Below are 21,202 nucleotides of genomic sequence, written 5' to 3'. Positions count from 1 at the left end.
ATAGAGGCTGGGCGCTGTGGTTCATGTCTGTAATCCCAGTACTTTGGGAGGCCAGGAGTCCCCCTGGGTAACATAGCGAGACCCCCACCTATATTATTTTTAAAAAAAAATTTCCTTTTTTTTTGAGACGGAGTCTCACTCTGTCATTCAGGCTGGAGTAAAGTGGTGCAATCTCCGCTCACTGCAACCTCCGCCTCCTGGGTTCAAGCAATTCTCCTGCCTCGGCCTCCCAAGTAGCTAGGATTACAGATGCCTGTCACCATGCCTGGCTAATTTTTTGTATTTTTAGTAGAGATGGGGTTTCACTATGTTGGCCAGGCTGGTTTCAAACTCCTGATCTCAGGTGATCCACCGCCTAGGCCTTCCAAAGTGCTGGGATTACAGGCGTGAGCCACTGCGCGGGGCCAAAAAAAATGTATTTCATTAGGTGCTGGGCCTACAAAGATAGAGGTGTGATTACTGCCCTCTGGGAACTCATAGTGTAGAAATGCAGGTGGATATTGACAAGCAACCGGAAAACTGTGTTTCCTACTAGGGGCATGAGGAAGGAGCTATACAAATAGATCAAGTAAGCTAATTCTGCCTAGGGCATAGAAGAAAGGTGCCCAGAGAGTTTCACAGAGAAGGGGATATTTAAATAGTCCCAAAGGTAAACACAATGGTAAGAGGAGAACAGTCCTTCTAAGCAAAGGGAATGGCAAGAGTAAAGGCATGGAGATATAAACACAAAGGCTTGTGTGTTAAAGGTGGAAGGAGTGAGGAGGAAGCAGTATGAGATATGAGACAGAAAATCACCTTAGAGAGAGACGGACCAGATTGGACAGGTTTTCAATTCTGTATCAAGGAGCTTAGGCTTTCCCTAAAAGCAAAGAATTTTAGGCAGGGGCCTGGTGGCAATTGGAAGATGGATGACTACTGGGGTTTGGAGAGATCAGTTGCAAGACCTAAGCAGTAAACAAAGTGAGTACTGAGACAGTGGAAATGAAAATAAAAGAGGAGGCCGGGCGTGGTGGCTCACGCCTGTAATCCCAGCACTTTGGGAGGCCGAGGCGGGCAGATCACGAGGTCAAGAGATGGAGACCACCCTGGCCAACATGGTGAAAACCCGTCTCTACTAAAAATACAAAAATTAACTGGGCGTGGTGGCGCGCGCCTGTAATCCCAGCCACTCAGGAGGCTGACGCAGGAGAATTGCTTGAACCTGGGAGGCGGAGGTTGCAGTGAGCCGAGATCACGCCACTGCACTCCAGCCTGGCGACAGAGCGAGACTCCATCTCAAAAAAAAAAAAGAGGAAAAATTTGATATATATTGTATAGGTAATGTTGACAGGATTGGCAATCAAATTAGTGTTAGTAGGTGAAAGGGAGAACTAAAAGATGATTCTGAGGTTTCAAGTATGAGTGATCAAGGAGCAGTGGGTGATATTATTAAGGGAGATGTGAAACACAAAGAATTATTTCTCCTTCTACTGTGTTGAATTTATCTGGAGGACATCCAGATGAAAATGTCTAGCAAGCAGACTTCCAGGTCAAGAGACAAGTTAGGGCTCAAGATTTGGGAGTCATCAACATGGACACAGTCTTATGTTAGAGTCTTATGTTAGAGTTTAAGAGGGAAAAGGGTAGGGAAAGGAAAGGACACGAGACAGGAACACAAATACTAAAGGGACACAGGAAGAAGTGGCTATGAAGGAGACTAAAAAATATAGAAATGTGCCACACACGGTGGCTCACGCCTGTGATCCCAGCACTTTGAGAGAGGCCGAGGCAGGCAGATCACCTGAGGTCAGGAGTTGAAGACCAGCCTGGCCAACATGGTGAAACCCTGTCTCTACTAAAAATACAAAAATTAGCTGGGCGTGGCAGCCGGTGCCTGTAATTCCAGCTACTTAGGAGGCTGAGGCAGGAAAATTGCTTGAACCCGGCAGACAGAGGTTGCAGTGAGCCGAGATCACACCACTGCACTCCAGCCTGGGTGACAGAACAAGACTCCAGCTCAAAAAAAAAAAAAAAAAAAAAGAAAAGAAATTTGAAGGAGAACCAAGAGTGTATCAGTGTCACATTCTATGGGAAGAAAGCTCTAAGATACAGTAGTCAAAAGCAGCACATTGAAGCAGTGAGGTCTAAGAGGTTAATAATTGAAAGATCACCAGAGCTGGCAACCAGATGGCTGATGCTAACAGGAAAATTTCTGGTAAATGATGGATGCTGAACAAAGTAGCCTGGGCTAGGCGCAGTGGCTCATGCCTTTAATCCTAGCGCTTTGGGAGGCTGAGGCAGGTGAATTGTTTGAGCTCACAAGTTCCAGACCAGCCTGGGCAACATGGCGAAACCCTGTCTCTACAAAAAATACAGAAATTAGCCGGGTGTGATGGCGCGTGCCTGTAGTCCCAACTACTTGGGAGGCTGAGGTGGGAGGACAGCTTGAGCTTAGGGGATGGAGGTTGCAGTGCGGCAAGATGAGAGTGATGCCACTGCACTCCAGCTTGAGTGATAGAGCCAGACCTTGTCTCAAAACAAACAAACAAACAAACAAAAAAAACCAGTCCTGGCACGGTGGCTAACGCCTGTAATCCCTGCACTTTGGGAGGCCGAGGCGGGTGGATCAGCTGAGGTCAGTTCAAGATCAGCCTGGCCAACATCGTGAAACCCCGTCTCTATTAAAAATACAAAAATTAGCCGGGCATGGTGGCGCGTGCCTGTAATTCCAGCTACTTGGGAGGCGGAAACAAGAGAATTGCTTGAACCCAGGAGGTGGAGGTTGCAGTGAGCTGAGATCGTGCCACTGCACTCCAGCCTGAGTGACAGAGCAAGACTCCATCCCAAAAAACAAAAACAAAAAAAACAAACAAAAGCAAACCCACAAAGTAGCCTGAGGATTCAATAAAGGAAGAGAAAAATGAGTGTAAACTACTTTCACTAACTTTGGAAATGGAAAAAACTAATCAGTAGCTTGAAGAGGAAGCTGAGGTTTTTTAAAATGGGGGAAGGGGGAATACTTGAACATGTTTTTTTTTTTTTTGAGAGTCTCGCTTCGTTGCCCAGGCAATGTGTAATGGCGTGATCTTGGCTCACTGCAACCTCCGCCTCCCGGTTCAAGCAGTTCTCTTCCCTCAGCCTCCCAAGTAGCTGGGATTACAGGTACCTGCCCCCACGCCCGGCTACGTTTTTGTATTTTTAGTAGAGACAGTGTTTCACCATGTTGGCCAGCCTGGTCTCAAACTCCTGACCTCAAGTGATCCACCCAGCTAAGCCTCCCAAAGTGCTGGGATTACAGGGGTGAGACACCGCGCCCAGCCAGAACATGCTTATAGGCTGACAAAAGATAACAATGACTGTAGCTGGGAAAATCTGAGCAACAAAATAGTAATGGATTATAATCCATGTATAAAATAAATACACATTAATACATACTAATATAAATTGACTAAACAAATGAGGGAGAAGAGACAAACCTTTTTTTTTTTTGAGACGGAGTCTTGCTCTGTCGCCCAGGCTAGAGTGCAGTGGTGAAATCTCGGCTTACTGCAAGCTCCGCCTCCCGGGTTCACGCCATTCTCCAGCCTCAGCTCCCAAGTAGCTGGGACTACAGATGCCCGCCACCACGCCCATCTAATTTTTTGTATTTTTAGTAGACAGTTTCACCGTGTTAGCCAGGATGGTCTCGATCTCCTGACCTCGTGATCCACCCACCTCAGCCTCCCAAAGTGCTGGGATTACAAGCGTGAGCCACCACACCTGGCCACGATGTCAGTTTCTTAATTTTGACAATGTACCATGGTAATATGTTAACAATGAGGGAAACGGGTAAGGATTATATGGAAACTCTGTTCTAGCTTTACAACTTTTCTGTAAATCTAAAATTATTCCAAAATAAAAAAGCATATGAGAAAAAAAATAAAGTTAGTGTTGCCTGTTTGTCTTGGTCCTCCACATTTCCGTGTAGTTGTGGCACATTGATCTGGTCATGAAACCATTTACCCGGGAGTTAAATATAGGGCAATTGCACTAATTAACATGTATGGAGCACAACACAGTGTAGCTGGAAACCTTTGTTAGGTTCAGAGTATGAAGTTACAAACGTACACTCTCACCATTCCCAACCCTCTTCAATACACCAGAGACATGGTTTTTTATTAAAAAACTTTTTAATTGGTTTACAAAGGAGGCTACAGACTACATTGAAACTAATCTTTGTACAAAAGGCCAAAAAAAAAAAAAAAAAAGTCCCAAAACACCAAGAGACAAAAGGTAGGAGGAAAGACAAGAAAGGAAGATACAAAAGGAGCAGGAAGAAACTTACTTAGGGACAAGATTAGCATCATACATACCTAAGAGTGGGGGGTGAGGGGGAAGAACAAGATGAGAGAGCATTTAAAAGCATTTACCCACACAGCCCTGGTGATAATTGGATTGGAATCAAAACAAACACAGCATGAGATTATTAAGAGGTTTTAAAAGGCAACAGTGGTGTGGACTGGTTATTGCCAGTGTTAAGAGAGAAATAAACTTGGGTTTTTAGGCACCAGAGATTGGAGCACCACCCATCCCTTCCAGAGGATGACAGACTTAGGAAGGGGAAGCAGGCCCTGGGGCAGCTGCCACTGGTGTGTGTAGATGTCTCCTCAGGTCAATCTCAGTGTATCTTCCCCGAAGTCTTTGTGCCCTAGACTCTAGGTAAGGGCTATGGGATTTCACTGGGAGAAAGGGATGATCAAAAATATGAAGACCTGCCCTTGTCCACAATGTTCAAGAGCAGTTACCGGGAAACTGGAGCACTGGGTAGACAGAGCCCATATCCCTGGGGAAAAGGCACAGTGTAATTCCTGAAGGCAAGATATGGGAAAGCACACATCCCAGCAGAGGTATCAACAAAATCCTCACTACTTGCAGCCCTAGTCTAATCCCATTTGTTAGGCTTTTTTTTTTTTTTTTTCCCCTGATACTTAGCTAGGACTTAGGGCAGTTGAGAGGCAGATCATCATGCCTCTACTTTCTTAGCAGAGACAAGGAAGACTGGGGCTGTTTGATAATGAGGAAGGGGAAAATGGGACAAAATACTCCTCTTTCAAATGAACACTGTGGAGAAAATCTTTCTGGGTTTGGGGAAGTCAGAGTAAAGACTTAGGGGAGTAATAAAGCCAGAGACCCCCCTTCTTTTCCTTTCCCTGCCTTGGATCTAAGGCAAGTGAGCCAAATTTGGAAGAGGGAGTAGGAATTTAAGCTTAAGGCTGCTTAATGTCTTCCTGGGGGCTGGTGTTTTGGGAAGGCAGACAAAGAGAAACAGGTCAACCTCAAAGCTGGTCTGCTCATCCTCTTAGAAGAGGTCTGGTATCTGTGGAGTAGAGCCAAGAGAGGCACCACAGAGAGCACAGTCTCCCAAACAGAAGTAATAACCGGCTCATATTTTATCAGCAGTTTTCAAAAGCAATGTTTTCCGGGGTTGGAGAAGTGCCATATCTTCCTCCCTTTCCCCAAAGCTACTGCTGCGACCTTTCTTTCATCCTTGTACATAAGTTACTGGCTCTCTTCTAAGGGAGATAAATTCTGAGATTTCACATTTTCCCTCTCAACCCCAATAGGCTACCCAGCTTCAGTGAGGGGGAAGGAGAGCTATGCAAAGGGCCCCTCACTTGAGGCAGCTAGACTGTCCTTATTTCCTTGGTACCTGATCTCCAAAACTCTTGATCTGATCCCAAGGTCCAAAAGGCATCAGGGTACTTACACTGAAAACTTCAAGCAAGTAGCACCAGGGCTCCCCCTAAGCATAACAGGGGCCTGATTAGCACCCCAGAAGAACCCCTCAAAAAGTATATAAATTTATTGCGTCCTAGCAAAGATCTGCAGCTTCCAGTATTCACACAATGTGAAGATATTAACAATACAAAATATATTTTGAAAGTCAAACACCTGTAGTTCATAGTGCTTTTTTAGATTTGTTAAAAAAAATACAATGCTTAGTTTCCTATATAGGATATACAAAAGCAAAAAATATATATGTATATAGTAGAAATAAATCAGCCATAGTAATTTACAGCTTTTGTCTCCAACCCTCCCCTAATCATAATCTTTATCCCACACTTCAGTATATACTTTCTGGGATCAAAGGATCAATTTATTCTGAACCAGGCTGAGAAATATCCATTAAATTGCATTCTGTGTAGCACCCACAGAGTGCCAGTTGGAAATCCCTGAAGGAAGACGGTGTGGGTTGTTACTGTTCTGGGTAAAAAGTGAGACAGTCAAATGACATGTAAATGAATATAAATGGGCAACCTGAAAACCTGAAAGGATGAGGGAATAAGTGTTTTACTATCTCACCACTCTTCTGGGCATCCCCTGCCCTGCAAGTTTTGGTCATCTAAAAAATTTAAAAAACTCATTCAAAAAAATGAAAAAAACTTAGGAAAAAAATTTCAGAATCAATATGCATGTCAGTTAAATTAATTTCTGTTAGCCAAAAGTTCAGGGAAACGGGGTTTTTCTGTAATAAGCTCCTGACTCAAGGAATGTAGGCTCCAAACTTCCTGTGGAAGAGACTGAGTGGCTCACTACTGCTGGGAGACAAAAGAAGCTGCTTCTGTTTTGAGGCCAAACAAGATACTGGATCTGGAGCTTCCTTGGTGTGAAGAGAACAGGGCAAGTGGAAATAATTAGATATAAATTCACTCATGGTAATGCTAATGAATAGGGTTGAGGGTAAACCAGCAGCTTTTCATTCGAGAAAGAAATACCATCAAATTACCTTCTAAAAGCTTATATCCTCAGCATCATTACATTATTTTATATCTGGTAATTTCATACTGGAGAAGATTCCATTCCTTGAAATGCACTAGCAAAATACTGTACATTCCAGTGAGTTATCCTGCCCCTTTCCTCCAAAAGATGCCAAAGTACATGATTACAGACATAAAATAACAGGTTCTGAGTTCTGCCTTTCAGTGAGAATAAAGGGTATGATAGTGGCTGTGCATGGATGACTTGTATCTCAGCGTTAATAGAATTTGATCTGGGGAAAGTTCCTTGCCATAGTTCCTGAGTTGAAAACATAATTACATCTGTGGAGAAAGGACCAAATGGAGTGAACTATTGTTTAGAGTATTAAGTTACTATAGTTCAGATTAAACAACACACTTACCCAAAACTTAATTTGGATGGATTTTATATAAAATATATAATAGAATCATACCATCATCTATTTGTAGCCAAAGTAAAAAGATTTATGAGAAGAATAAGGACTCTGCTATAGATCTGGATGTTGGTTTCACTTTCAAACACAAAAATAGTTTCTTTTTAAAAAAGTACAGTAGAATATCCTCCATTCATAATTGTAATTAATTTAGCATAAGCAAAGAAATGACCTTAGGAACATACCCAGGTTTTAAGATAGATTTCTAGGTAATGGGCCTGAAAGGCATTTTGATCTGAATTTATTTTCCAACGATTTCAAATATAATTTGTCATCTGTGTGTAGACATATACGGGCATGAACACACATTCACCCACACATACAAAAACACTTGCTTTCTATCAGATCAGGGTAATTTTTTTATTGCAGGTCTCTTTTAATATTGGCTAGCAGAAAACCTATCCCCAACCTAACAGATTACACACACACACACACACACACACACACACACACACAGAGCTATTTTTCCACACTTCCTCACAGTGAAAAGCTCTCTAACAAGATACCAGAAGGTCGAGAGAGACAATGCTTTTATGGCTGGGCCTTGAGGACAATTCTGGTTGCATTTAAATCTCAGTGCCAAATGCACTAGGTTCCCTGCCGTTATAATTTTTGGATCAGTCTCTTCTGAAATCAGGTCACAGAGAAAACAGGATGATTTCTCCCAATCTCTCCTATAAAACACTGTGGTAAGACAAGATTTCTTTTTGTTCTGGGCTATCATTCCCATGATCATGTGCTTCCCTTTCCCTTAGGAACCACCCAAGAACATACAAGGAAAAGTTAAGGGAAAACATCATAAGAACCACTGTCTTGCCACTAGCACATGCTTTGGAGGAGTTCTGCAGAATGGAAACCTGAAACAGATTCACTGGCTGATGCTCCTTATTGACAATGGAAAAGAACCTAGTGGGGATGTTCAAAAGAAGTGTATTTCCTTTCAGAATATAAACTCAGAAGCCCACACATCAAAACTTAGAGCTACCTTGGAAGACAGCAGTACCAAAGTCCAAATACTCCACTAACTCCTGAACCTGACTACGAGTCATTTCCTCTTCTGAGCACATGATTTTCCTAGTGAAAGCCCCCTACCTATTATTTGAAAATTTGACAGTTTATACAAACTGAGCCAAGATTATTATCTTCAAAGGGACTCTTGTACAATTCCACTGAAAGACTTCTAATTCTTGATGCTCAGAGCAGCTAATGAAGGGAGATGCCTTTGACTCTCCAGCGCCAAGAAGGTGCCTGCGTCAGTAGTATTTTGAACACTCCCTCCACAGTTACTTCAAGCATCAGCCTGGGCTTCAAGGATTTTTCCATTCTGCTGCTGGAACTAAGGTCCTGAAAAAATTGACAGAAGTGCCTCATCCAGGCAGTAACAAAAACAAAACATGAAGTGATCAGATGAGAGAAGATGAGACGGCAACAGTTGAGTTAGGGAAGGAGTGCAAGAAGCTGATCCCAAACAAAAAGACAAAATTAAGAAAGGAAAAACATTATGTATGTATATATGAACTAAAAGCAGAGCATATGAACGCTTAAGCTGGTGGGAAGCCAAGACAACATCTACAGAAAAGCTTGATGTGTCACAACAAGGCTCAGCCATAGGGAAATAAGGCAATATAAAAAAAATGACCAAGGTATTTTGGTCACAGAATGGTCTTCCTCCTCCCAGCCAACCCCTGTGAATGCATCTCTATATATCTTTATATATATATATATATATATAATAATATAGAATCTGTTTTTTGTTAAAAAGTATTTCAATGATCATATATATTTATCAAGGCATGATGGCTTTAGGAAAGGGGGGGGAATCCATCATGGAAGAGCTGAGAAGAGAAATGCAGGAAGGGTAGGCTGGGGTAAGAAGTGTAAGAAGAAACTGGGGTCAAACAAATGCTCATCAAAGCGTGGCACCAACAGAATTTTCACTAATGTTTCCCACCTTCAAAGAGGCACTGATGATACAGATGGGTGCCGGGACCCCATCTCCTCTCTTGTATCCCTCTCCTGATTCTTCTCAACACCATGCATTTTAATGCTTCATGGCTCTCTCTTCCATGTCTCTTGGACCCATGCTACCTTGCATCCCGGGGTTAAGGGGTATGGCCCATATGTCTCTGGCCCCGGGTGCCTGATCTCAGAAGCCATTGCCACTGATATTAATGGACTGCAGATCTGCCACCTGCATGACGTTGATGCCACTGTTGGCAAGACGGGCAATGCCCTCTGGACAGATGGCCTCCATGGCTACCATATTGGTGGTAATAAGGGCTGAAGGAGTGGCAGTGCCACTGCCTTCTGAACCTGCCCCACTGTCCAGGGGCAAAGTGCCCACACTCAGAGCTACACCTGGGCCTCCCTTCTTATTCTGGTGGGTCTTGATATGTTTTGACAGGTGGTCACTCCTCATGAAGCGCTTAGGACACTCAGGGCAGGCAAATTTCTTCTCACCTAGGTAAAGGAAGAAAAGATAAGAAGCTGACATGTTAGGAAGTGAGGTTACCTTACCCAATTCAGTGCTTACTCTACTAAGCTGAGTAAGGCCAGTATGAGAAGGTGATCAAAAACAAGAAAAATCTTCAAGTGGCTGGGCGTGGTGGCTCACGCTTGTAATCCCAGCACTTTGGGAGGCCAAGGCGGGCAGATCACGAGGTCAGGAGATCAAGACCACGGTGAAACCCTGTCTCTACTAAAAATACAAAAAATTAGCCGGGCGTGGTGGCGGGCGCCTGTAGTCCCAGCTACTCGGAGAGGCTGAGGCAGGAGAATGGCGTGGACCCGGGAGGCGGAGCTTGCAGTGAGCCGAGATCGCGCCACTGCACTCCAGCCTGGGCGACAGAGACTCTGTCTCAAAAAAAAAACAAAAAACAAAAAACTTCAAGTATATTTTCCTTTTGGCGGGGGCGTGAGGAAGAAAACTAGATAAAGGTTGGGGAGTACTCGGTAAGGAAGGTAGAACTTAGCAGTTTTAAAAGTAAGGCAGGGCAGAGACTAAGAGTAATGGTTTCAATGCTTCACCTTCAAAAATCCCACTCAAAATCTAGCTCCTTATTTTATTTTATTTTATTTTTTTGAGACAGAGTCTTGCTCTGTCGCCTAGGCTGGAGTGCAGTGGCACAATCTCAGCTCACTGTAACCTCCGCCTCCAAGGTTCAAGCAATTCTCCTGCCTCAGCCTCCTGAGTAGCTGGGATTACAGGTGTGCACCAGCACGCTTGACTATTTTGTAATTTTAGTAGAGACAGGGTTTCCCCATGTTGGCCAGGCTGGTCTTGAACTCCTGACCTCAAGAAATCCACCCACCTCGGCCTCCCAAAGGGCTGGGATTACAGGCATGAGCCACGACACCTGGCTCCTTCCTTTTTTTTTGAGACAGTGTCTCGCTCTGTCGCCCAGGCTGGAGTGCAGTGGCACGATCTTGGCTCATTGCAAGCTCCGCCTCCCAGGTTCATGCCACTCTCCTGCCTCCACCTCCTGAGTAGCTGCAACTACAGGCGCCTGCCACCATGCCCGGCTAATTTTTTTGTATATTTAGTAGAGACGGGGTTTCACCATGTTAGCCAGAATGGTCTCGATCTCCTGACCTCGTGATCTGCCCGCCTCGGCCTCCAAAAGTGCTGGGATTACAGGCGTGAGCCACTGCACCCAGCCCCTCCTTCCTTCTTAAAAATTTTCCAGATTAACTCCAATTCCATTTGTGACCCATATATTCAGTTTCAAATTAAGTTGCTCAGAAATTTTAGTTATTTTGTAGGTATATTTTGTGTTTTTCATTCTAGTCTATTACTATTTTTCTCTCCCATAGGCTCTTGCTCACCTGTGTGTGTACGTTTGTGCCTCTGTAGCTCATCCGAACGTGTGAAGCGTTTCCCACAGTATGACCAGGTACACATAAATGGCCTCTCGCCTGTATGCCAGCGCAAGTGTGCCCGCAGGTGAGAGGTCTTGCCATACACTTTCCCACAGCCTTGGATGTGGCAAATATGCTGTTTCTTTTTGCCAGGATCCCCCGAGCCCCTGAAAGTGAGGACACAACTGTTAATCATTCATTCTAGAGAAAACTAAAGAACCACAAAGTATCAACAGCAATCACCCAATCGACACCAAACTAACCCAAACTTTTATTTTTTGAAAAAGTCTTCTTTTTTGTTTTTTTGAGAGAGTCTCACTCTGTCGTCCAGGCTGGAGTACAGTAGCATGATCACGGCTCACTGCAACCTCCGCCTCCTAGGTTCAAGCGATTCTCCTGCCTCAGCCTCCCGAGTAGCTGGGATTACAGGTGCACACCACCATGCCCAGCTAATTTTTATATTTTTAGTGCAGATGAGGTTTCGCAATGTTGGCGAGGCTGGTCTCGAACCCCTGAGCTCAGGTGATGGATCTGCCCACCTCCGCCTCCCAAAGTACTGGGATTACAGGCGTGAGCCACTGCACTGGACCAAGGCTTCTTTTTTTTGTTCGTTTGTTTGTTTTGAGACGGAGTCTCGCTCTGTCGCCCAGGCTGGAGTGTAATAGCGCAATCTTGGCTCACTGCAACCTCCACCTCCCGGGTTCACGCCATTCTCCTGCCTCAGCCTCCCGAGTAGCTGGGACTATGGGTGCCCGCCACCACACCCGGCTAATTTTTTGTATTTTTAGTAGAGACGGGGTTTCACCATGTTAGCCAGGATGGTCTCGATCTCCTGACCTTGTGATCCACCCACCTCGGCCTCCCAAAGTGCTGGGATTACAGGCGTGAGCCACCGCACCCGGCCAAGCCTTCTTTTTTAAAAAGGTTTCTAGGGGCTGGGAGTGATGGCTCACGCCTGTAATCCCAACACTTTTGGAGGCCGAGGCAGGTGGATTGATCACCTGAGGTCAGGGATCCGAGACCAGCCTGGCCAACATGGCGAAACCTCATCTGTACTAAAAAATACAAAAATTGTTCAAGACCAGTCTTATCAACATGGTCCCCATCTCTACTAAAAATACAAAATTAGCCAGGCGTGGTGGCACATGCCTGTAATCCCAGCTACTTGGGAGGCTGAAGCAGAGGAATTGCTTGAACCTGGGAGGTGGAGGTTGCAGTGAGCCGAGATCGTGCCGTTGCACTCCAGCCTGGGCAACAAGAGCGAAGCTCTTTTTTTTTTTTTTGAGACAGAGTCTCACTCTGTCGCCCAGGCTAGAGTGTAACGGCACGATCTCGGTTCACTGCAACCTCCACCTCCCAAGTTCGAGCAATTCTCCTACCTCAACCTCCCAAGTAGCTGGGATTACAGGCACCTGACACCACGCCGGTTAATTTTTGTACTTTTAGTAGAGATGGGGTTTCACCATGTTGGCCAGGCTGGTCTTGTACTCCTGACCTCAGGTGATCCGCCCGCCTTGGCCTCCCAAAGTGCTGGGATTACAGGCGTGAGCCACCGTACCCGGATGAAGATCTGTCTTAAAAAAAAAAAAAGGCCGGGCGCCCCCATGGCTCATGCCTGTAATCCCAGCACTTTGGGAGGCCAAGGCAGGCGGATCACAAGGTCAGGAGATCGAGACCACCCTGGCTAACACGGTGAAACCCCGTCTCTACTAAAAATACAAAAAATTAGCTGGGCGAGGTGGCGGGCACCTGTAGTCCCAGCTACTAGGGAGGCTGAGGCAGGAGAATGGCGTGAACCCAGGGGGCGGAGCCTGCAGTGAGCCAAGATTGTGCCACTGCACTCCAGCCTGGGCAACAGAGCAAGACTCCATCTCAAAACAAAAAAATAAATAAATAAATTTTTTTGGCCAGGTGCAGTGGCTCACGTCTGTAATCCCAGCACTTTGGGAGGCCGAGGTGGGCAGATCACACAGTCAGGAGATGAAGACCATCCTGGCTAACAAGGTGAAACCCTGTCTCTATTAAAAATAGAAAAACTTAGCCGGGCGTGGTGGCACACGCCTGTAGTCCCAGCTACTCGGGAGACTGAGGCAGAATTGCTTGAACCCAGGAGGTGGAGGTTGCAGTGAGCCAAGAATGTGCCACTGCACTCCAGCCTGGGAAACACAGACTGACTTTGTCTCAGAAAAAAAAAAAATTTTTTTTTTTTTCATTTTCTCTTTTTATGGCCAGTAAAATATTCCCACATAATTTTTAAATTTTTGTAGAGATCGGCTCTCGCTTTCTTGCTGAGGCTGGTCTCAAACTCCTGGGCTGAAGTGATCCTCCTATCTTGGCCTCCCAAAGTGCTGGGATTATATGCATCCAGCTCTGAGTCTTAAATCCTAAAAAAAAAAATTAACCTTTGCCGGGCATGGTGGCTCACGCTGGTAATCCCAGCACTTTAGGAGGCCGAGGCGGGCAGATCACGAGGTCAGGAGATCGAGACCATCCTGGGTAACACAGTGAAACCCTGTCTCTACTAAAAATAAAAAAAGATAGCTGGGTGTGGTGACAGGTGCCTGTAGTCCCAGCTACTCGGGAGGCTGAGGCAGGAGAATGGCGTGAACCCAGGAGGTGGAGTTTGCAGTGAGCCAAGATTGCGCCACTGCACTCCAGCCTGGGCAACAGAGTCAGACTCGGTCTCAAAAAAAAAAAAAATTAATCTTCTTCCTCTTATCTCCAAATCTATTAATTTTTCTTTATATTTGTAAGAAACTGGCTGGGTCAACTCACCTTCCTTCACTGTCTTTACAGTAGGGGCAGGTGCATGCTTCCCGCCGGGTCCTCCGACCGGCTTGGGGTTGGGCATCTGGGCTGTTTTCTCCTTCCTCTCCACCTGCTGTGTCATCATGTATTCCATCACCACCAGCCCCATGGAGACCAAGCTGAGCTCCATGATCACCTGAAATTAAGAGAGAAAAGGGTCAACATGTGACATGGGCAGGTTATCACTGGCATCTCAGTGATACCCTACAGTCACAACATCATTTCTTTTGAACTGACATCCTACATTCACAGTATCACAAGTTTTGAAGCCTTTTTATGTTTAGCCATTCCATTCACTGACACCTGAAGACTCACTGAAATCTCAAGAATCATCATTGAAAATACCAAGAGTGGCTGGGCGCAGTGGTTCACGCCTGTAATTCCATCACTTTGGGAGGCCGAGGTGGGCGGATCACCTGAGGTCAGGAGTTCAAGACCAGTCTGACCAATACGGAGAAATCCCGTCTCTACTAAAAATACAAAATTAGCTGGGAATGGTACGCATGCCTGTAATCCCAGCTCCTTGGAAGGCTGAGCCAGGAGAATTGCTTGAACCCGGGAGGCGGAGGTTGCAGTTAGCGAGACTGCACCATTGTACTCCAGCCTGGGTGACAGAGCAAGACTCTGTCTCAAAAAAAAAAAAAAAAAAAAAAAAGAAAGAAAATACCAAGAGCCAATAAATACGTAAAAATCTGATCAAATCTCATAGTTGTTTTTTTTTATTATTATACTTTAAGTTTTACGGTACATGTGCACAACGTGTAGGTTACATATGTATACATGTGCCATACTGATGTGCTGCACCCATTAACTCGTCATTTAGCATTAGGTATATCTCCTAATGCTATCCCTCCCCCGATCATAGTTTTTAAAATGCAACTCCACTTATAACGCATTTGTAATTTTTCACCTATCAGATTACCAAAAGTTGAAACCCTAATAACATACGGCATTGGTAAGGGTACAGGAAAACAGACCCTCCCTCTCTCTCTTCCTTCCCTCCCTCCCTCCTTCCCTCCTTCCTTCTCTCTCTCTCTCTTTTCTTTCCTTTCTTTTTTTGAGACAGAGTCTCGCTGGCTCTGGAGTACAGTGGCATTATCTGGGCTCACTGCAACCTCCATCTCCTGGGTTCAAGTGATTCTCCTGCCTTAGCCTCCCAAGTAGCTGCAACTACAGGTATATGCCACCATGACTGGCTAACTTTTTTGTATTTTTAGGAGAGATGGGGTTTCACCATGTTGGTCAGGCTGTCTCGAACTCCTGACCTTAGGTGATCCACCCGCCTCGGCCTTCGAAAGTGCTGGGATTACGGGTGGGCATGAGCCACCATGTCCAGCCGGAAAGAGACATTTTCATACACAAATAGTGATAAATTAATACAACTTTTTGAAGGCCAGTTTGAAAATATTTAAATGTACATCTAATTTGAACCAGCAATGCCCATATATTTACATGTGGTTCTGCCTGTAACCTCAGCACTTTGGAAGGCTGAGGCAGGAGAACTGCTTGAGATTAGGAGTTCAAGACCAGCCTGGGCAACATAGGGACACTCTGTCTATAAAATAAATAATAGGCTGGGCATGGTAGCTCACGCCTGTAATCCCAGCACTTTGGGAGGCCGAGGTGGTTGGATCACTTGAGGTCAGGAGTTCAATACCAGCCTGGCCAACATGGTAAAACCCCCATCTCTACTAAAAATACAAAAACAAAACAAAAAAAATCAGCTGGGTATGGTGGAGTACGCTTGTAATCCTAGCTATTCGGGAGGCTGAGACAGGAATTGCTTGAACCCAGGAGGCAGAGGTTGCAGTGAGCCGAGACTGTGCCACTGCACTCCAGCCTGGCCGACAGAGCGAGACTTCGTCGCCAAATAATAATAATAATTAGCTGGGCATGGTGGCATGCGCCTATGGTCCCAGCTACTCAGGAGGCTAAGGTGGGAGGAAGATTGCTTGAGCCAAGGTGTTTAAGGCTACAGTGAGCTATGATCACATCACTGCACACCAGCCTGGCCAACAGAACAAGATTCCAACTCAAAAAAATATATATAAATAAACAGTGTATGCTAAAATGCTTTAGACTCTCATCATGACTCAGTTGGTCACATTTGACATTTTCAAACACAGCTCTAGGCCACTGGTAAAAAGTGACAGATAATATTCTTTTTTTTTTTTTTTTGAGACTGAGTTACACTCTTGTTGCCCAGGCTGGAGTGCAATGGCACAATCTTGACTCATTGCAACCTCCGCCTCCTGGGTTCAAGCGATTTTCCTGCCTCAGCCTCCTGAGTAGCTGGGATTACAGGCACCCACCACCACCCCTGGCTACTTTTTGTATTTTGTTGTATTTTTTTAGTAGAGATGGGGTTTCACCATCTTCGACAGGCTGGTCTCGAACTCCTGACCTTGTGATCCGCCCGCCTTGGCCTCCCAAAGTGCTGATTACAGGCGTGAGTCACCGCACCCGGCTGATAATATTCTTCGCAAAAGTAATATCTTATAAAGTGGCAGATAATATTCTTCTCAAGACTTCTTTCCTTTTTTTTTTTTTGAGACGGAGTCTCGCTCTGTCGCCCAGGCTGAAGTGCAGTAGCGCGATCTCGGCTCACTGCAAGCTCCGCCTCCCAGGTTCACGCCATTCTCCTGCCTCAGCCTCCCTAGTAGGTGGGACTACAGGCGCCCGTCACCACGCCCGGCTAACTTTTTGTATTTTTAGTAGAGACGGGGTTTCACTGTGTTAGCCAGGATGGTCTTGGTCTCCTGACCTCATGATCCGCCCGCCTCGGCCTCCCAAAGTGCTGGGATTACAGGCGTGAGCCACCGTGCCCGGCCTTTCCTTTTTTTAAGGAGACCGGGTCTCACCATGTTGTCCAGGCTGATCTCGAGCTCCTGGGCTCAAGTGATCCTCCCGCCTCAGCCCCCCAAAATGTTCTGTTGTGATTATAGACATTAGCTACTGCTGCCTAGCCTTTCTCAAATTTTCAAAGCATTTACTATAAATAAGTATTAGTCTATCACAGCATCTTGTAAACAAGTTAGCAACTCTATCCATATATTTAATATGTCTGGGAAGGCACGGTGGCTCATGCCTATAATCCCAGCACCTTGGGAGGCCAAGGCAGGAGGATTCTTTGAGCCCAGGAGTTTGAGATCGGTCTGGGCAACACAGTTAAGACCTCATCTCTACAAAAAAAAAAAAAAATTAGCTGGGCATGGTGGCGTGTGCCTGGAGTCCCAACTACCTGGGAGGATGAAGCAGGGTAATCACTTGAGCCTGGGAGATGGAGGCAGCAGTGAGTCCTGATTGTACAACTGCATTCCAGCCTGGGTGACAGAGCCCATCTCAAAAAAACAAAAAACCAAAAAAGATTTCTATAATGCAAGGTGTTAACTTGGACTGCTTTGTTTTATCTATTTTAAAAGGAAAGAAAGTAACTAAACGAGGTAGGACAGACTTAACATCTAGAAATCCAGGTTCTTGATTTTACTTCTGTACCTAATCTCTATCCTTTTCAGCTCTTCCACATAATTTTGAGTTACTATGCCTAATAAAACTCTCCTTGTGCTTTCCTTCCAATTCTTTTTTTTTCTTTCTTGAGACGGAGTGGGAGTGCAGTAGAATCTTGGTCCACTGCCACCTCCGCCTCCCTGGTTCAAGCAGTTCTTCTACCTCAGCCTCCCGAGTAGCTGTGATTGCAGGTAGAGGCTCCCGCCACCGTGCCTGGCTAATTTCTGCATTTTTTTTTTTTTTCTGAGATGGAATCTCTGTCGCCCAGGCTGGAGTGCAGTGGCACGACCTTGACTCACTGCAACCTCTGCCTCCCAGGTTCCAGTGATTCTCCTGCCTCAGCCTTCTAAGTAACTGGGACTACAGGCTACAGGCATGCACCACCACGCTCGGTTAATTTTTTACTTTTTTAGTAGAGACGGGGTTTCACCATATTGGCCAGGCTGGTCTCCAACTCCTGACCTCATGATCCGCCCGCCTCGACCTCCCAAAGTGATGGGATTACAGGTGTGAGCCACTGCACCCGGCTGCATTTTTAGTAGAGACAGGGTTTCACCAGTTTGGCCAGGCTGGTCTCAAACTCCTGACCTTAGGTGATCCGCCCCCCTTGGTCTCCCAAAGTGCTGGCATTACCAGCCTGAGCCACCTTGCCCGGCCTCCTTCTCATTCAGTCACTTTTACGGAGCAGTCCAGGCCGGGCGCAACGGCTCACGCCTGTAATCCCAGTACTTTGGGAGGCCGAGGCGGGTGGATCATGAGGTCAGGAGTTCGAGACCAGCCTGGCCAAGATGGTGAAACCCCTTCTCTACTAAAAATACAAAAATTAGCCGGGCATGGTGGCGCATGCCTGTAGTCCCAGCTACTTGGGAGGCTGAGGCAGGACAATCGCTTGAACTTGGGAGGCGGAGGTTGCAGTGAGCCAAGATCCTGCCATTGCACTCCAGCCTGGGCGACAAGAGCAAAACTCCGTCTTAAAAAAAAAAAAAAAAAAAAGGTGCAGCCTATGGCACTAAAATAAATTTAATCAGAACGTCTGAGATTTTCATGATATTGGTAGAGCTGAAACTAGGAAAATGTACTGGAGTACAGGGTTAAGAACAGGTTTTGGAGTAGGAGAAACTTAGATATGAGTCCTTTCACAACCATTTGATTAAGTTTCTGATAATGAGCAAAAACTTTTCTGGTCGTCAGCTTCTCCATCAGTAAAACTGCGACCAATTATCAACTTCATAAAATTACTGTGAAAAACAAATGAAGAGGCTCACACCTATAATCCCAACACTTTACAAGGCCGAGCTGGACAGATCGCTTGAGGCCAGGAGTTCCAGGCCAGCCTGGCCAACATGATGAAACTCCTTCTTTACTAAAAATACAAATATTAGCTGGGTGTGGTGGTGGGCGCCTGTAATCCTAGCTACTTGGAAGGCTGAGGCAGGAGAATTGCTTGAACCTGGGAGATGGAGGTTGCAGGGAGCCAAGATCACACATTGTAGCTAACAGTATTAGGAAAATATCTTAAGGAGTGGCAAAACCATAGTAAGTAATCATGAAATAAGATATACACCAATATTTTCTTTAATCAACACTAAGCATGGCCCCAAATCATATTTTCTTAAAATAAGTAATGATTATGATGAACATATCAAAATTTTCTTGACTCTGCAGTTTACATCTCAATATGTCTTGCCAGTATCATTGCTCGTTGTGTGCATGAAATAGATAAGAGCATTCAAAGCTTTTTTTTTTTTTTTTTTTTCCCAGATAGATGGAGTCTTGCTCTTGTCGCCCAGGCTGGAGTGCAATGGCGCGATCTTGGCTCAATGCAACCTCCACCTCCTGGGTTCAAGTGATTCTCCTGCCTCAGCCTCCTGAATACCTGGGATTACAGGCGCCCACCACCATGCCCGGCTAATTTTTGTACTTTTAGTAGAGACAGGGTTTCACCATGTTGGTCAGGCTGGTCTCGAACTCCCGACCTCAGGTGATCCACCCGCCTTGGCCTGCCAAGGTGCTGGGATTACGGCACGTGCCACCGTGCCAGGCCAGAAAAACTTAATATTTCTAGGAATTAAGTAAAACAGTAAGACTGCCAAGGATAGTAATAAAATGGGGCAACCAATATGTTTAAGATCAAGATATAGACTCACCCAGATGAGGTGGCTCATGCCTGCAATCCCAGCACTTTGGTCTTTAGGAGCCTGAGACAGGTGGATCACCTGAGGTCAGGAGTTCGAGACCAGCCTGGCCAACATGGTGAAACCTTGTCTCTACTAAAAATACAAAAATTAGCCAGGCATGGTGGTGGGCACCTGTAGTACCAGCTACTCAGGAGGCTGAGGCAGGAGAATGGCGTGAACCTGGGAGGCGGAGCTTGCAGTGAGCTGAGATTGTGCCACTTCACTGCAGCCTGGGCGACAGAACGAGACTCTGTCTCAAAAAAAAAAAAAAAAAAAAAAAATTAGCCCAGTGTGGTGGTACACACCTGTAATCCCAGCTACTCCGGAGGCTGAGACAGGAGAATCGCTTGAACCCGGGAGGTGGAGGTTGCAGTGAGCCTAGAGCGTACCACTCCAGCCTGGGCGACGGAGCAAGGCTCTGTCTCAAAACAACCCAAAAAACAAAACAAAACAAAGATACAGACTCGAACTCATCACAACTGAATCTAACCCAGTAACTCCACTCCTATGTATATAACCAAGAGAAATTAAAACATACGTTCACACAAAAACGTATAAACAAATATTCATAGCAGCATTATGCATGATAGCTAAAACACAGAAACAACCCAAATGTCCATCAACTGGTGAATGAATAAACAAAATGTGGTATATATACACAATGAAATATTATTTGGCAATAAAAAAAAGAGTACTAACACATGCTACAACATGGATGAACCTTGGAAATATTATGCTAATTGAAAGAAGCCAGTCATTAAAGACCACATACTGTAAGATTCTATTTATGTGAAATATCTAGAATAGTCAATTCTACAGAGGTGAAAAGTACATACATTGCTTGGGGCTGAGAGTGAACGTGAGAATGGGGCATGGCTGCCAATGGGCAAGAGGTGTTTCTTTGTTGGATGATCAAAATGTTCTTGGGTTGTAGTGATGGTTGCACAATCCTGTGAATATACTAAAAATGATTAAGCCGGGACCGGTGGCTCACACTGGTAATCCAAGCACTTTGGGAGGCCCAGGAGGTGGATCACTAGGTCAGGAGATTGAGACCATCCTGGCCAACATGATGAAATTCCCGTCTCTACTAAAAATACAAAAATTGCCAGGCGCGGTGGCTCACGCCTGTAATCCCAGCACTTTGGGAGGCCGAGGCGGGCGGATGACCTGAGGTTGAGAGTTCAAGACCACCCTGACCAACACGGAAAAACCCCGTCTCTACTAAAAATACAAAATTAGCCGGGTGTGGTGGCCTGTAATCCCAGCTGCTTGGGAGGCTGAGGCAGGAGAATCGCTTGAACCCAGGAGGCGGAGGTTGCGGTGAGCCGGAGATCGTGCCACTGCACTCCAGCCTGGGCAACAAGAGTGAAACTCCATCTCAAAAAAAAAAATAAAACAAATAAGGCAGGGCGCGGTGGCTCACGCCTGTAATCCCAGCACTTTGGGAGGCCGAGGCGGGCGGATCACAAGGTCAGGAGATCGAGACCATTCTGGCTAACATGGGGAAACCCGGTCTCTACTAAAAATACAAAAAATTAGCCAGATGTGGTGGCGGGCGCCTGTAGCCCCAGCTACTCTCAAGGCTGACAGAAGAATGGCGTGAACTCGCGAGGCGGAGCTTGCAGTGAGCTGAGATCGCGCCACTGCACTCCAGCCTGGG

The 21,202-nt window shown here is 45.6% G+C and overlaps 1 protein-coding gene across 3 annotated transcripts in view; it reads right to left on the bottom strand.

The window, feature by feature from the left end:
* Window positions 4,130-21,202, bottom strand: part of SP1 (Sp1 transcription factor) — a 36,271-nt gene continuing 19,198 nt past the window's right edge. For all 3 annotated transcript variants that reach the window (NM_138473.3, NM_001251825.2, NM_003109.1), the window contains exons 4-6: window positions 13,823-13,991; window positions 11,015-11,214; window positions 4,130-9,649 (exon numbers count right to left, since the gene is read on the bottom strand). In NM_138473.3, coding sequence (NP_612482.2) covers window positions 9,336-9,649; window positions 11,015-11,214; window positions 13,823-13,991 — 683 coding nt within the window. In that variant the 3' untranslated portion in view covers window positions 4,130-9,335. The remainder of the gene's footprint in view (window positions 9,650-11,014; window positions 11,215-13,822; window positions 13,992-21,202) is intronic.

Source organism: Homo sapiens, chromosome 12 (genome assembly GCF_000001405.40).
Source record: "Homo sapiens chromosome 12, GRCh38.p14 Primary Assembly".
Classification (NCBI taxonomy): Eukaryota; Metazoa; Chordata; class Mammalia; order Primates; family Hominidae; genus Homo; species Homo sapiens.
The sequence above is the reverse complement of the archived record's forward strand: the minus strand, read 5'-3'. Positions and strand labels throughout refer to the sequence as shown.